The sequence below is a fragment of the Homo sapiens genome, chromosome 18 (assembly GCF_000001405.40).
Source record: "Homo sapiens chromosome 18, GRCh38.p14 Primary Assembly".
Classification (NCBI taxonomy): Eukaryota; Metazoa; Chordata; class Mammalia; order Primates; family Hominidae; genus Homo; species Homo sapiens.
Window position 1 is genome coordinate 56,551,922 of NC_000018.10, and position 13,334 is coordinate 56,565,255.

Genomic DNA, 13,334 nt, shown 5'->3' on the forward strand with positions numbered 1-13,334 from the left:
GCAAAACACACGTGTATGCCCTAAAATTTGTTACAATATATTAAAATTGTAGTTTGGGTTTGTGTTTCCCCTAAAACCCTGAAATAAAAACAAAATGACAACACATAAAGCAAAATGAGCCCTCAAGAACTGAAAAAATTTTAATCAAATTTATTTTCCCTTTACCTTCTTTAAAAATATTACAAATCCTTTTGAAAGTCCAGCCAAGCTTACTCTAATCTCTGATAATTAGGAACAGAAAGAGACTGAACAAATAAGATTCACCAATCCACCTCACCTTATCTGTTAATTTTAACCTCCTCTCTCTCTCTCTCTCTCTCACACACACACACACACACACACACACACACACACAAAATGTATAACTCCTAGAAGTAGCCAAATTGACTGACATTGGGTTTGTTTGCTTGTTTGTTTGTTGAGACACGGTCTCGCTCTGTCACCCAGGCTGAAATACAGTTGCGTGATCTCGGCTCACTGCAACCTCTGCCTCCCAGGTTGAAGCAATTCTCATGCCTCGGCCTCTGAGTAGCTGGGACTACAGGCAAGCGCCATCCCGCCCAGATGATTTTTTTGTATTTTTAGTAGAGATGGGGTTTCGCCATGTTGGCCAGGCTGGTCTCCAACTCCTGACCTCAAGTGATCCACCCGCCTTGGCCTCCCAAAGTGTGACTGATATTGTTTCCCCGCCTCTCTCCACTCCCAGCCCTTTCAGATCACACGGAAGCAATAGCATGAGAGAAGCAAAGAAAGAATGAAGGCTCTGTGGACACAGGCCTGGATAACTTGCTGAGTCTCCAAGCTGAAAAATTGATTCCCGGACAAATGACCTAGCTGAACGGAATATTGATAAACTCAAAGAATATACAAACAGACCTAAAGGAAGCCACCAGCAAGCCAAAAGCTTCTATGCCAACAGGAGGGAAATTCACCACTGAAAAGAGAAATTTCCTCTTTTTAATTTCTTTTAACAATTGCTCTACCTCATACTCGCAGAACCCTTTATACTTATCAAAGTGCTTTTATAACTACCTGAAAGTTAGCTATTCCTGTGATCATGAAATGCTCAATGCCCGGAGTACCCAGAGAGTTAGTGGCTACGCTGAGCCAAGTGCCTGACTGCACAAGACAGTTCCAGTGGATGCTCTCCATGATCCTGCTGTCCCTATAAAACATCAGCATTCTTTGCAGGGATTCTGTCTTGGGTGGTGTGCTCCAGCCATTCAAATATCTCTCTTTCACAACAATCCTCAAATTTGATGAGAATGACAAAACGGAGGAACAGCTCCTAGAGAGAACACTGGCTCCGGAGTCAGGGCACCCAGGTCAGTCACGGGGCTGCAGGGCTGGTGAGCATCCCCACCTTCTCTTTGCTTTTCTTTGCTCAACCTTAAAATCAGGATTCTACTCTCTCTTCACTAATCTCATTAGAATGAACTGAGGACAAAGGACACAACGTCAGGAAGCATTCCTAAGGCCATTCTTTGATGATTATTACATTTATGGTTTAGCACCTGCAGATTCAAACCAAAGTACAGTCTTTATATGCAAGAGCATAAAAATAAAGTTCAAACATAGGTTCACAGTATTACCACTAGTGAAAAAAAAACCCGTGGGTCCTTCAGTTCTCAAGACAAAGCCATATTTTTGGTTCATACATTTAAATGCTAAAATCTATCAATGTTCCAGCAGACAACATATCATCTAATTATTCTTAACCGGACTTATGTTTACTTCTGTTCTCATTACTAATCATTTGCTTAATTAAGGTTCTTACCTCAGAGGTTCTTAGAACAAATGCAAAATTTGTGAAATTGAGATAGATTCAGGAGCTATAATCACTCTTCAGTGTATATGGCCAAGTAAAAGACCAAGTAATGAAACAGATCCTCAAACAATTAGGCTTAAATGTAGTCATATGTTTTTAAAAAGTCGTTTGTACTGGGATGCAAATTGTGTGTATGCCAGGTTGTAAACTTTAGGGATATCCATTCTTTGACCATAGAAAAAAATTTAAAAAATTAAGATATCAAATCGAAGCTACTTTAAATTCATTTGAGAAATAGGCTATACATAAATGCATAGAATATACATAGTATATCAAAACTAATTCCCTCCTAGACTTGCCTATTTCTGTCAGTTCTTTATTTACAACTGTTTCTGACTCTGCAATCTGCTTATCTCTCCCTCGGCCCCCACCTCCAGGTTTTTGTGCCTTCACCTCTGTGGGTGTGCCATGGTGCCTAATAGCATGGATTCTGGAAACAAATTGCATGAATTCGGATTTCAGTTCTATTACGGTGTAACCTTGATCAAGTTACATAACCTTTCCTAGTCTCCATTTCTTGATCATCAGGTGGAGACAACAGCAGTATCTATCCTATAGGATCTTTGCAAATGAATGTAGTGTGCATTACAGTACCTGATACAGAGAAGGGATCCACAAACTACAATTGTGGTGGTTCATATTTGGACTCCTCCCTGGCCTTTGTCTCTTCAGTCTGTCTCTTCCAATCCCTATGGGGCATTTTTGCCAGACTCTCCCCCTTAAAAAATCGATGTGTGTTTTGTTTTGTTTGGTTTGGTGTTTGTTTGTTTTGAGATGGAGTCTCACTCTGTTGCCCAGGCTGGAGTGCAGTGGTGTGATCTCAGCTCACTGGAACTTCTTCCCCCTGGGGTTCAAGCAATTCTCCTGCCTCAGCCTTCTGAGTAGATGGGATTACAGGCACCCGCCACCACACCCAGCTAATCTTTGTATTTTTAGTAGAGATGAGGTTTCACCATGTTGGCCAGGCTGGTCTCGAACTCCTGACCTCAAATGATCTGCCTTCCTTGGCCTCCCAAAGTGCTGGGATTACAGGCGCGAGCCACATGTGCAGCCCAAAATCCATGTTTCTGAACCCACTGAGCAGTTGGCAGCAGAGACAAGAGTGCACATGAACCATCTCATCTCCCCAGAGACATAGGCAATGAATCATCAAGGACCTCAAGCTGCCAAAGAACACTGAAGCCTTGGCGGTCAAGGAAGAGCTGACCCCAGCCCTCTCAACCCCACGCTCACCTCTGCCCTGTGCTTTCCTGGCCCCAGCTCAGGTCCTTGGACCAGGGCTAACCCTCTTAATTGGCTTCCCAGCAATTGGCCTAGCCTATCACACCGCTGTATTAACTTGTTCTTAATAGAAACAAGCCCCTAAATAGTCATTTTAGAATTGGATTAGAAAACATGGGCCACTCTAATCAGAACTCTAAACCCAGGGCATATTACAACCCCTTCCTGCAGGGGATTTCTTTTATTTAACTCTATCTATGCTTCTAAAATAAGCCATTTCTCCCGAAAGACAGTATCATAGATCAAAAGAGCCAAATGCATGCTAGAGATCTCCTCTGGCCTTCTGTTTTTAGAGATGAGGTGACTTGTGCTACAATAAGTTCGTGATTCTCTTGCAGTCATGGTAACTGGGCCAGTTTATTAGTCCGTTTTCACACTGCTGATGAAGACATACCCAAGACTGGTTAATGGACTCACCATTCCACGTGGCTGGAGGTTAATGAGCTCATATAGTTAATGGACTCACAGAGGTTAACGGACTCACAGTTCCACATTGCTGGGGAGGCCTCACAATCATGGTGGAAGGTGAAAGGCGCATCTTACATGGTGGCAGGCAAGAGAGAGAATGACTATGAAGTGAAAAGGGTTTCCCCTTATAAAACCATCAGATCTCATGAGACTACCACGAGAACAGTATGGGGGAAACTGCCCCTGTGATTCAATTATCTCCCACCAGTTCCCTCCCACAACATGTGAAAATTATGGGAGCTACAATTCAAGATGAGATTTGGGTGGGGACATGGCCAAACCGTATCAGCCAGGAAAAGTCCATCTTGATTGTCGTACACACATAAACAGGTATTTTCCATGTTGGTTAAGCCCAGGAAGGGGTGTCTTATATGAAATTTTGCATTGCTTTTATTTTATTTTATTTTATTTAGAGACAAGATCTTGCTCTTTTGCCCGGCTGGAGTGCAGTAAAATGATCATAGAGCACTGCAGCGTTGACCTCCCAGGCTCAGGCATCACCTCAGCCTCCCAAGCAGCTGGGACCCCAGGCGCACATCACCATGCCTGGCTAATTTTTTTTTTCTTTTTTTTTTTTTTTTTAGAGATTTAGAGATAAGGTCTCCCTATGTTGCCCAGGCTGGTCGTAAACTCCTGGGCTCAAGTGATTCTCCCACCTCCGCTTCCCAAAGTGCTACGATTACAGGCATGAACCACCACACCTGGCCTCATTACTTTTATAGAACAGTAATTATAGACTGAAATTCCATGTGTATCTCTTAGTCCTCTCTTCTGTTTTGTTGTTGTTTTTAAATAGGCTTACAGGGTCTAGCAAAGATTCCAAAGATATACTCACTTGTTATTGTAGTATTTTTTCTATCATTGCTATTTTTTTATTCTTAAAGTTATAAGAATTATTTTGCCTTATAAATATACATATATATATTTTGACACAGAAAGATATTGACACTATAGTGCTGAGTGAAGAGTTTACAAAATAATTTATAGTTTGATCTCATATTCGTTTGTTTTTGCATATTACAAAATCTAGGAGATTAGTAATCAGAATTTCAACAGTAGTTATTTCTAGGAGGGTAAAGATTACTGGGCTTTTTTTCTTTTCTTCTAATAAGTTTACATTTGTTCAATTAGCTATATAATTAAATACATTTACTTATAATTTAAACTTTCAGTAAAGTTTAAAATATAAACTTTACTGAAAGCATGTTTATACCACTCGTTAATCTTGTTAATCTTTTATCTATTTTTTAATTGACAAAGAAAAAATTGTAAATATTTATGATCTACAACATGATGTTTTGATATATGTATACATTACATGATGATTAAATCAAGTTAATTAACATATCCATCACCTCACATACATATCACTTTTTGTAATGAGAACATTTAAAATCTACTCTCTGGGCAATTTTCAAGTATACAATACATTAATCTCTTTTTGAAGTCAGTTTGGAAGTGTGAGTTTCACCAACCACACAGAAGACCTCTGGAAGCCCAGTGATGTTAAAGTTAATAAAACCCTGTCGCTGAGAACAACACCTTATTTCCAGTTCCTTAAAATGGAACTTGGTAATGCATTTGTCTGACTTAATTACTTCATGCTTTCTGCCTGTAGGCAGTTACCTGCAATTCTTTTCTCTGAAGAAGCAAAATATTTTCTAACTATAATTGGCAGTGATTACTCACTCACCCTGCAAGCTTTGGCCTCCCCTACTCTCTGCTGCTGCACTTGGCCCCAGCAGAATTGATCACTCTCCTGTAGCCCTGGCTTCAAAACTCTAGTGACATATTTGACACAACTTGCCTGTTTGTCTTTCCCCATGTAAAAATAGCCCCTTGGGCTGGGCACAGTGGCTTTCGCCTGTAATCCCAGCACTTTGGGAGACCAAGATGGGTGGATCACCTGAGGTCAGGAGTTCAAGACCAGCCTGGCCAACATGGTGAAACCCCGTCTCTACCAAAAATACAAAAGGTAGCCAGACGTGGTGGCACACACCTGTGATCCCAGCTACTCAGGAGGCCAAGGCAGGAGAATCACTTGAACCCAAGAGCGGAGGTTGCAGTGAGCTGAGATCATGCCACTGCACTCCAGCCTGGGCAACAGAGAGAGACCATGTCTTAAAATAAATAAATAAATAAGAAAAATAAAAATAAAAATAAGCCCCTTGAGGGCAAGACCTGGTCCCTTGGGTGGACTCTCTTTGCATCCTCCCATCCAAAAGAATGTGTGGCCATGGCATGGGCTCCATATCTGTTGGCTAAATGAATGACCTGGATTAATGAATCATTCCAGCAGACCTTTCTCAACCACCCAGAGCAACCCTAGGTACAGGTGAGTGGCATTTAAGGGCAGGGAGGCTTAGACTCAAAGGATTAGAATCAAAAATAATTAAAATTGATCTTCAAAATCCCTAAATCTCCCATGAAGTTTAGTAAACATGAGTGTGAATAAAACCCAAGTTTATAATACAAGGGTATAAATTTATAAGCTATATAATAACATAGACTATATGATAGGAAACATATGAAAATATAGTTCCCCAGCATATGTAAGAGAGAACACAGACCATGCATGGTTTGACTTGTGAAAGTGAAATCTGACTTTACTGCTTGAATCCCTGTGCCCTTTTAGCACATTGAGCCAGCTTCTATTACGGCACATGTCACACCGTTTTACAACTGTTTGTCTACAGGTCTGTCACCCCCATGTGATTTAGTGAAAGAACCTCGTTTTCCTTTTTGTCCTCAAGAGCTTAGCACAGTGCCTACCACAGCTTAATAACAAAACCTAAAGTTTATTGAGTGCTTAATGTGTGTCAGACACTGTACTAGGTGTTTCTATGTCCTTTATCTCATGCTGTACTTCAACAAGCCCAAGAGGATTATTATCTTAATTTTACCGAGATTTTAATTAACTTGCTTAAGGCAACCCACGTAATCTAGGAAAAGCCAAGATTCAAACACAAGTTTCATTGAATATCCAAATCCCATTCATGACCATTGTAGTATTCTGTCTCTCCATTATAAAGAATTTGATTTAATGCACATTTAATGAGCATTTACTGATTCATAACTACTTAACAGAGAAGCTAGGAGTGGGGACATAGCTACGAAAATTAATAACAAAGGTGATCAATTTGACTAGAGTAAGAAGACATTATTAAGTCCAATCATAAATAGGAATAATGGCAGAAAATATAACTCAGTGAGAAGACAGACAACTTTAAAAAACTGATTGCTCACAATCCTTCAGTAACACATCCACTACTTGAAGTGGGTATTGTTTATATAGGAACAGCAGTTATTGTATGAAAAGCACAAAGTTAAAGATATAAAAATTACTAAGGTATATTGGGAGTGGCTGAGTGGTATAAGCACATTTGTTGTCATACCATCATAGGAAAATGGTAGGTAGCATCAATCAAGATAGAGAAGAAAGGATCAAGAAATGTTATTAACACATTTCATTTTCAGGCAGGAAAGGACCCAGCCAGGAATTGGAAGTCAGAACCCTAGGGCCCTTTCTGCTTCAAACAAAGCTAGCTCTATGACCTTGGGCACATCTCTGAAGCTCAGGTTACCCATCTGTGAAGTCGGGATAAATTAAAAGGCGCAGGGATTTTTGTTGACAGCCATATGCTTCCTTTCTCATGTGCATCTCAAATGGTCCTATCACAGGAAGCATGGTCCACATCAGAGCACAGTGGAAGGCCGCTGAGCTCCCATGGCCACAGCTCATCTGCATGAAATAGATGCAGGTGTAATTGAGTTTCCTTGGAACAGAGCATTGGCTAGCTGGCTGGCTGGCACGCTTGCTATGATGACTCAGATGCAAAGCATGGTGTGTTGCATGGGCGAGCCAAGGTGAGGACCCTTTAAAACAAGCGTTTATAGGCTGCATGTGCATTTTCCCCATTTGTTAATATTAATTTATATATTATATATAAATTATATAAAATATATATATTACATATATATATACACACACACACACATAATACCCCTCAGTGCTCTGGCATAAGCAAAATTTTCAGCTTCATGTATTTCGTGCTTTGTGCTTGGGTGAATTTGCTAAACATAGAAAATGTTCAAAAATAACTTCTGGATCCACTTGAAAGACACTAGAGGTTTGTACTTGGACAGCCAGAACAGTGACTAGAATACAGAAACCTGCTAAGGGAATCAGGTTGAGGAGCAGCCGCAAGAGGGAAGAAAATCGTCAATTCTGGGGTCAGACCAAGGCTGGAAACCCAGTGTATGGGTGTCTCTTTGTTTCTGTCCTTCTCCCACCTGCAGCCTCTGTATTCGGTATTTGACTACTAGACTCCTTCTCAGCATGGCAGGAAGGAGGAAAAGAAAGAAATTGAAAACCACATTGATCAGTGTTGCTTCTCGTCGGCAGTTGTGAGAAAACATTTTAGAGGAAAAAAAGAAGCTGAAAGCTGTAAATATGTAAGGATTTGCAGATGGTTGAAGAATTTCATTACCTATGCTGTGTTCTTGACCCTATCAGCCCAATCTTGCAGAACAGTAACAGAGACATCAAGATTCATGTCCTCCAACATAAGTGGAGTTTGCTAGATGTGTGTTGGTTTAATGCCACTTCTTTAAGGCAGCCTATAAGACAGTTCTGGAAAATGGCAGGTATTTGAAAACATATGAACAGTCTAGAATGTTTGTGGATCCGAGGCACAATGGAGTGAAATGATTTAAACTAGGAATTCTACAGATGTTCTCCTGGCTGGTAACTAGACTCAATTCCAGGTCTGTGGATTTGTCAATCATTCATCTATTCTGCCCCATCATTTTTTATCAAGCAAGGACATTGTGCCAGGCAGCATGCTGGTGCCACACCATGCTTTCTGTACCCATCTAGTCAGAGTCATACCTCACCCGCTAGAGAAGAGCAGAGCAGCATGAAATGATGAGTCTTCCTCTAAATGCAAGCAGGGGCAGGTGACTCTGTTTGCCAAAGCCAAAACGTAAGACAAGAAAACTGGATGCCAGCATCTGGGATTCAAAAGGGCGTCTGGATTAGTGGAATGAGCGCTAACCTGAGAACAGCTCTTCACCACCAATTCACTGTAGCTTTGAGTAAGTTAGCTCACTTTTCTGCCTTAGCTTCTTCATGTGTAAAATCAGAAGGTTCCTTTTACATATTTCATTTTTACTGAATATTTACCTAGCGTGTACTAAGAACAAAGTTCTGTGTTAGTTGGTGACAGAGATTCTAGAAAATGTATGTGAAAGCACTCAGAAGAGTATACAAAGGAACTATCATTATTGTTAACTATTTTGACAGTTAATGTTTCCAGAATGTTCTATGGAATCTGAAGACATTAGGAATAGACTACAGGAAATGGCAGGGAGAAACGTATTACCTGATCAGAGAATCGGGAAAAAACATGGGGAATTTTACTGGTGATGAGCAGAGAAGACATGCTGGATAAGCCGTCTCAGTTCAGACACACAGATCAAAGAAACGGAGAAGAAGATAAAGTTCAGAGACTGGTAAAGGGAAGAAAAAGAGAACCTCAGTTCTCTTTCAACAAAAGAGCTTCAGGCAGTTCAACACGGCCCTGCAATTTCATAAAACCTGCTTAGAGCTGTGGAACTTGAGTTATCAAATAGTCCAACGCCTTACTTACTAGGTGAGGAAACTGAGGACCAGAAAGAGGAAGTGCTGCCCCAGGGGATCAGTGGCAGAGCCCAGCCTAGGAGTCAATCACATTTCCTGACTCACAGGCATCTTCTCCCTAGCCTGCAATAAAAGCTTTTGGAGAGTTGATTATCATTCTATTATACATTGCTGAGCTAGGATCATTGCCTAACCCAAGGAGGCAGTTATCTTTAAGTTTAAGAGAGAGAAGAAATTCTAAAAACTATGAGCACAGCCACACAAATCATACAGGAGAGGACTACAGAAAATTTGAAATCATTGAGGCCTCTAAAAAAATCACTCAGATGAAAAACAGGAGGTTAATAGGAAGCTTTTTGGCAGCAGGAAAGAAAAACTGGTATTCTTTCTGCTTATATGTCACTGTTGCAATTTAAAAAAAAAAATTAAGATGATGCTAAAAGGCTGGAATTTGGATTTTCTAATCATCCATCAATTATTCATAATGCACCTTGAGTAAATTCTGGTAACAAAAATAGAAACTGGAGAAAGAGGGAAGATGCTCAAATGCTCCAAGGTAAACTGAAAGACAACTCCAGTACCATTGTGAAAATGAGGTGATGGCATGCCAGCCTTGGTAATCACTCTCCCGCCCTCCTGACTGCTGGCCTGATTAGTAGAAAGAGGGCAGACCCTTGCCCTCTTCTTTGAGCATCCCAGGAAGGGCTGTCAGGTCCACAGGGTTCTCCTGTGAGAGGGAGCTCAGGGCATGGGCCCTCATGTCCACATCCCATCTCTGCCATTTCAGCTGCGTGACTTTAGGCAAATGTCCCTGGTTTGATCAACTGTGGAATGAGGGTAATAAATGTTCCTGCCTCATACACTTATGATGAGGATTTTTTCAGTTAATATGCACGAGGCACTTAGAATAGGGCATGGCACACAGAAAGTTAACCGGCCGGGCACAGTGGTTCACACCTGTAATCCCAGCACTTTGGGAGGCAAATTATGAGGTCAGGAGTTTGAGACCAGCCTGGCCAACACGGTGAAACCCCGTCTCTACTAAATATACAAAAATTAGCCGGGCATGATGGTACGTACCTGTAATCCCAGCTACTCCAGAGGCTGAGGCAGGAGAATCGCTTGAACCCGGGAGGCAGAGGTTGCAGTGAGCCAAGATTGCACCACTGCACTGTAGCCTGGGTGACAGAGCGAGATTCCTTCTCAAAAAAAAAAAAAAAAAAAAAAAGAAGTTAACCAATGGTAGCTATGATTATTGGCTATTGCCCAGTTCTTAGCATTTCCTCTCCACAAAATAACCAGTTACACTTCTGAAATTGGACTTTAATTATATTACACAATAAGGATATGTCCCTAGCTAAATTGTACTTAGCAGTGAAATTGATCATAGACAATGAATTACAGGATTTTCTACATAAAATTATCTACAGTATTTATGGGTTGAATTGTGAGTCCCGATTTCTCTCAGCATAAAGGAGTGGCTCATCTCACACCATTCCTCCCAGCATGCATGGCTCGTCCTCCCCCTGCAGTCACTCAGCCGGCTGCTGGGGATGTCTTCGTCATTAAGGCTCTGTGCTCTGGGAGGAACTAACACAAAACTCTCAATTCCCGATCACCAGGACCAATTGCCTTTCCTGTAAATGCTTGCAGCCTCACACTTGCTGCTTTCTACTGCTATACCCTCTTCTCATGCTGCTGCTGTAGCCACCCAACAACCTTCTCAGAAAACAGTAGATTATTTCCAAGGCTCTCAATCCCGCTGGCTCCTCCCAGGGAAGAGAAGCTTGGAGGGAGAGAGGTTTCATAGATTCCCCCTAGACTGCAAGGTTTTGTGAGATGGGTAAGAGTACGGACCCACTCCACATAATGCCCCGGGCAGAATCCCAGGGAGAAAAGGCTTTGTGGTGCACCCGGGGACACAGGGACCAACAGGACCAGCCTGGGAGCCCCAGCTCCTGAGACCCCCCAGACCTGGGCTCAGAGGGAAAATCTAGTGAAACTGCCTCAACTCGAGGGACCGGGAGGACAAAGCTGGGAAGGCCTTTCCCTACGTGTTTATACCGCATTCCAGCCACCTTGGACTCCAATGTCTGGGATCATTTGTCCGTGTTGAGTACAGGGTCCTAGGATTCAGCAAGAAAGGAACAATCCTTGCCCTCCTGGAGCTTACAATCTAGTCTGGGGTAGAGACGAGTGAGCAGACAATTACAGTAAGTCCTAAGGGTGGCGGAGACTAAAGGACTCAGGGAAGTCTCTCAGAAGGAGATGGTTGCTAAGCTGAGATTGAAAACAATAAACGGAGTTTCTGTTCATCTCTTGCATAGCCCCTCCCCCTTGCATGATATTTGGGCAGAAAAGAGTTGGCAGGGGACAGTACCACCAAGAGGAAATTTTGCCATGGGAAGGGGGCCTGCGGACATTCCCCTATCCCTTCACTGTTCAATTGCTTTTCCTTCCCCTCCTAAAAGCTAAGCAGTGGAATCTTACAGGCTAAAACCAGAGACTGCACACAGTGCTTATTTCTAACCCTTGACTATCCGCTACCCGCTACCCGTGGATTAGAGAAGCAGGGTAACTTGACACCAGGCAATTTGACCCCGTTGGGAACACCCACAGATCAGGCCCAGTTCCCCTGCTGGCCGCCATGTGGCTGCCTGTGCCCCTTGCAGCCAGTCAGCCCCCTGGTGGCCCTCACCAGACTGTCCCACACCCCTGACACGGGGCTGCAGATGTTGCCGTTCTATTTTAGACCACAGCACAAGGAGGTGGAGGGGACAAATGTGCCTCACACCTCATGCATAGTACCAGGACCTTGGCTGCCTCTGCTCCTTGTTTCAGGACTTGGGGTGGAGTCCTTGAAACACTTCACACAGCACTTTACACTCTATAAGGCATGGGTGGCTCTTGCCATCTACCAAAATGAAAAGCCAGCAGCATTGAGGCCTTGAAGTGAACTGCCACAGATCACACCACCAGTAAGAGACAATCTGGACTTGCACACAGTTCTCTCTGGCTTTGGCCCACTGTAGTGATCCATTTTAAAGGAAGAAACTTTAGGCTGGGCACAGTGGCTCACGCCTATAATCCCAACACTTTGAAAGGCCGAGGCAGGAGGATCACTTGAGGCCAGGAGTTGGAGACCAGTCTGAGGAAAACAGTGAGACCTTGTCTCTACAAAAAAATTACAAAACTTAGCTGGGCATGGTGGCACGCACCTGTAGTCTCAGCTACTTGGGAGGCTGAGGCGGGAGGATCCCTTGAGCACAGGAGTTTGAGGCTGCAGTGAACTATGATCATGCCACAGCACTCCATCAAGGGTGACAGAGCAAGACCCTGACTCAAGAAACAGAGAGACTTAAGAATTATCAACTCATGAAACAACTACTCCTACTTCTGGTTTTATAGTTCAGTTCCAAAAACAGTATATTATATTTCCCTCTATACTTTCATCTAATATAGTTCAAATTTGAAAGTACCAGTTTTACTGGACCACTTAGTTGAAATACATGACCCAAGAAACCAAATACTCTTACCAATTACAAATGTGTTTTTACATATTAACTGCCACTTTGGGTCTGTAATCAATTCAGAGCTTGTTAGATAAACAAAAAGTCATCTCCTTTGTTTGAGGTTTATGTGTAAGTTAATAAACGTATTATTCATTTCCAGCGCTGTCAGCATTTGGTCTTTAGCTCTGATGTATATTAAAAACAACTGCATGAATGGTACGTGTGTGTAAGAACATATACAGCTCATATATTCATTACAGAGATACATGCAAAAGCACAGAGCATATTTTTAAATCCTGGGATCAATATAGTACCATATTCTTAAGTAGCTGTTGAGATGAAACACACATACCCTAAAATTTGTACAGCTTCTCAGTAGGAGAAAGCTCCAGAAACAGCATGAAAAGTCACACCAGCTGCTGAAGAGGAAGCTGCCTGGGCCTTGAAACACGCTGCAACTGGACTAATGTCTTCCGATATTATGTCATTAATAAAAATCTATCATCTCAAACTTACGCATCTGAGTCTCATTTTTTAAATGTGCTCTTTATTTTTGTCCTCAGACTACCCTGCAGCTCCTAGATCTTGTTTCGTTCTGGGTGGA

The 13,334-nt window shown here is 42.2% G+C and overlaps 1 annotated feature.

Moving 5' to 3' along the window:
* Positions 11,411 to 11,912: an enhancer, noted in NCBI's record as "H3K4me1 hESC enhancer chr18:54230563-54231064 (GRCh37/hg19 assembly coordinates)". NCBI's record gives its function as "activates a minimal SCP1, AML or CMV promoter by ChIP-STARR-seq in primed H9 embryonic stem cells {active_cell/tissue: H9 hESC(primed)}" and the evidence as "EXISTENCE:reporter gene assay evidence [ECO:0000049][PMID:30033119]".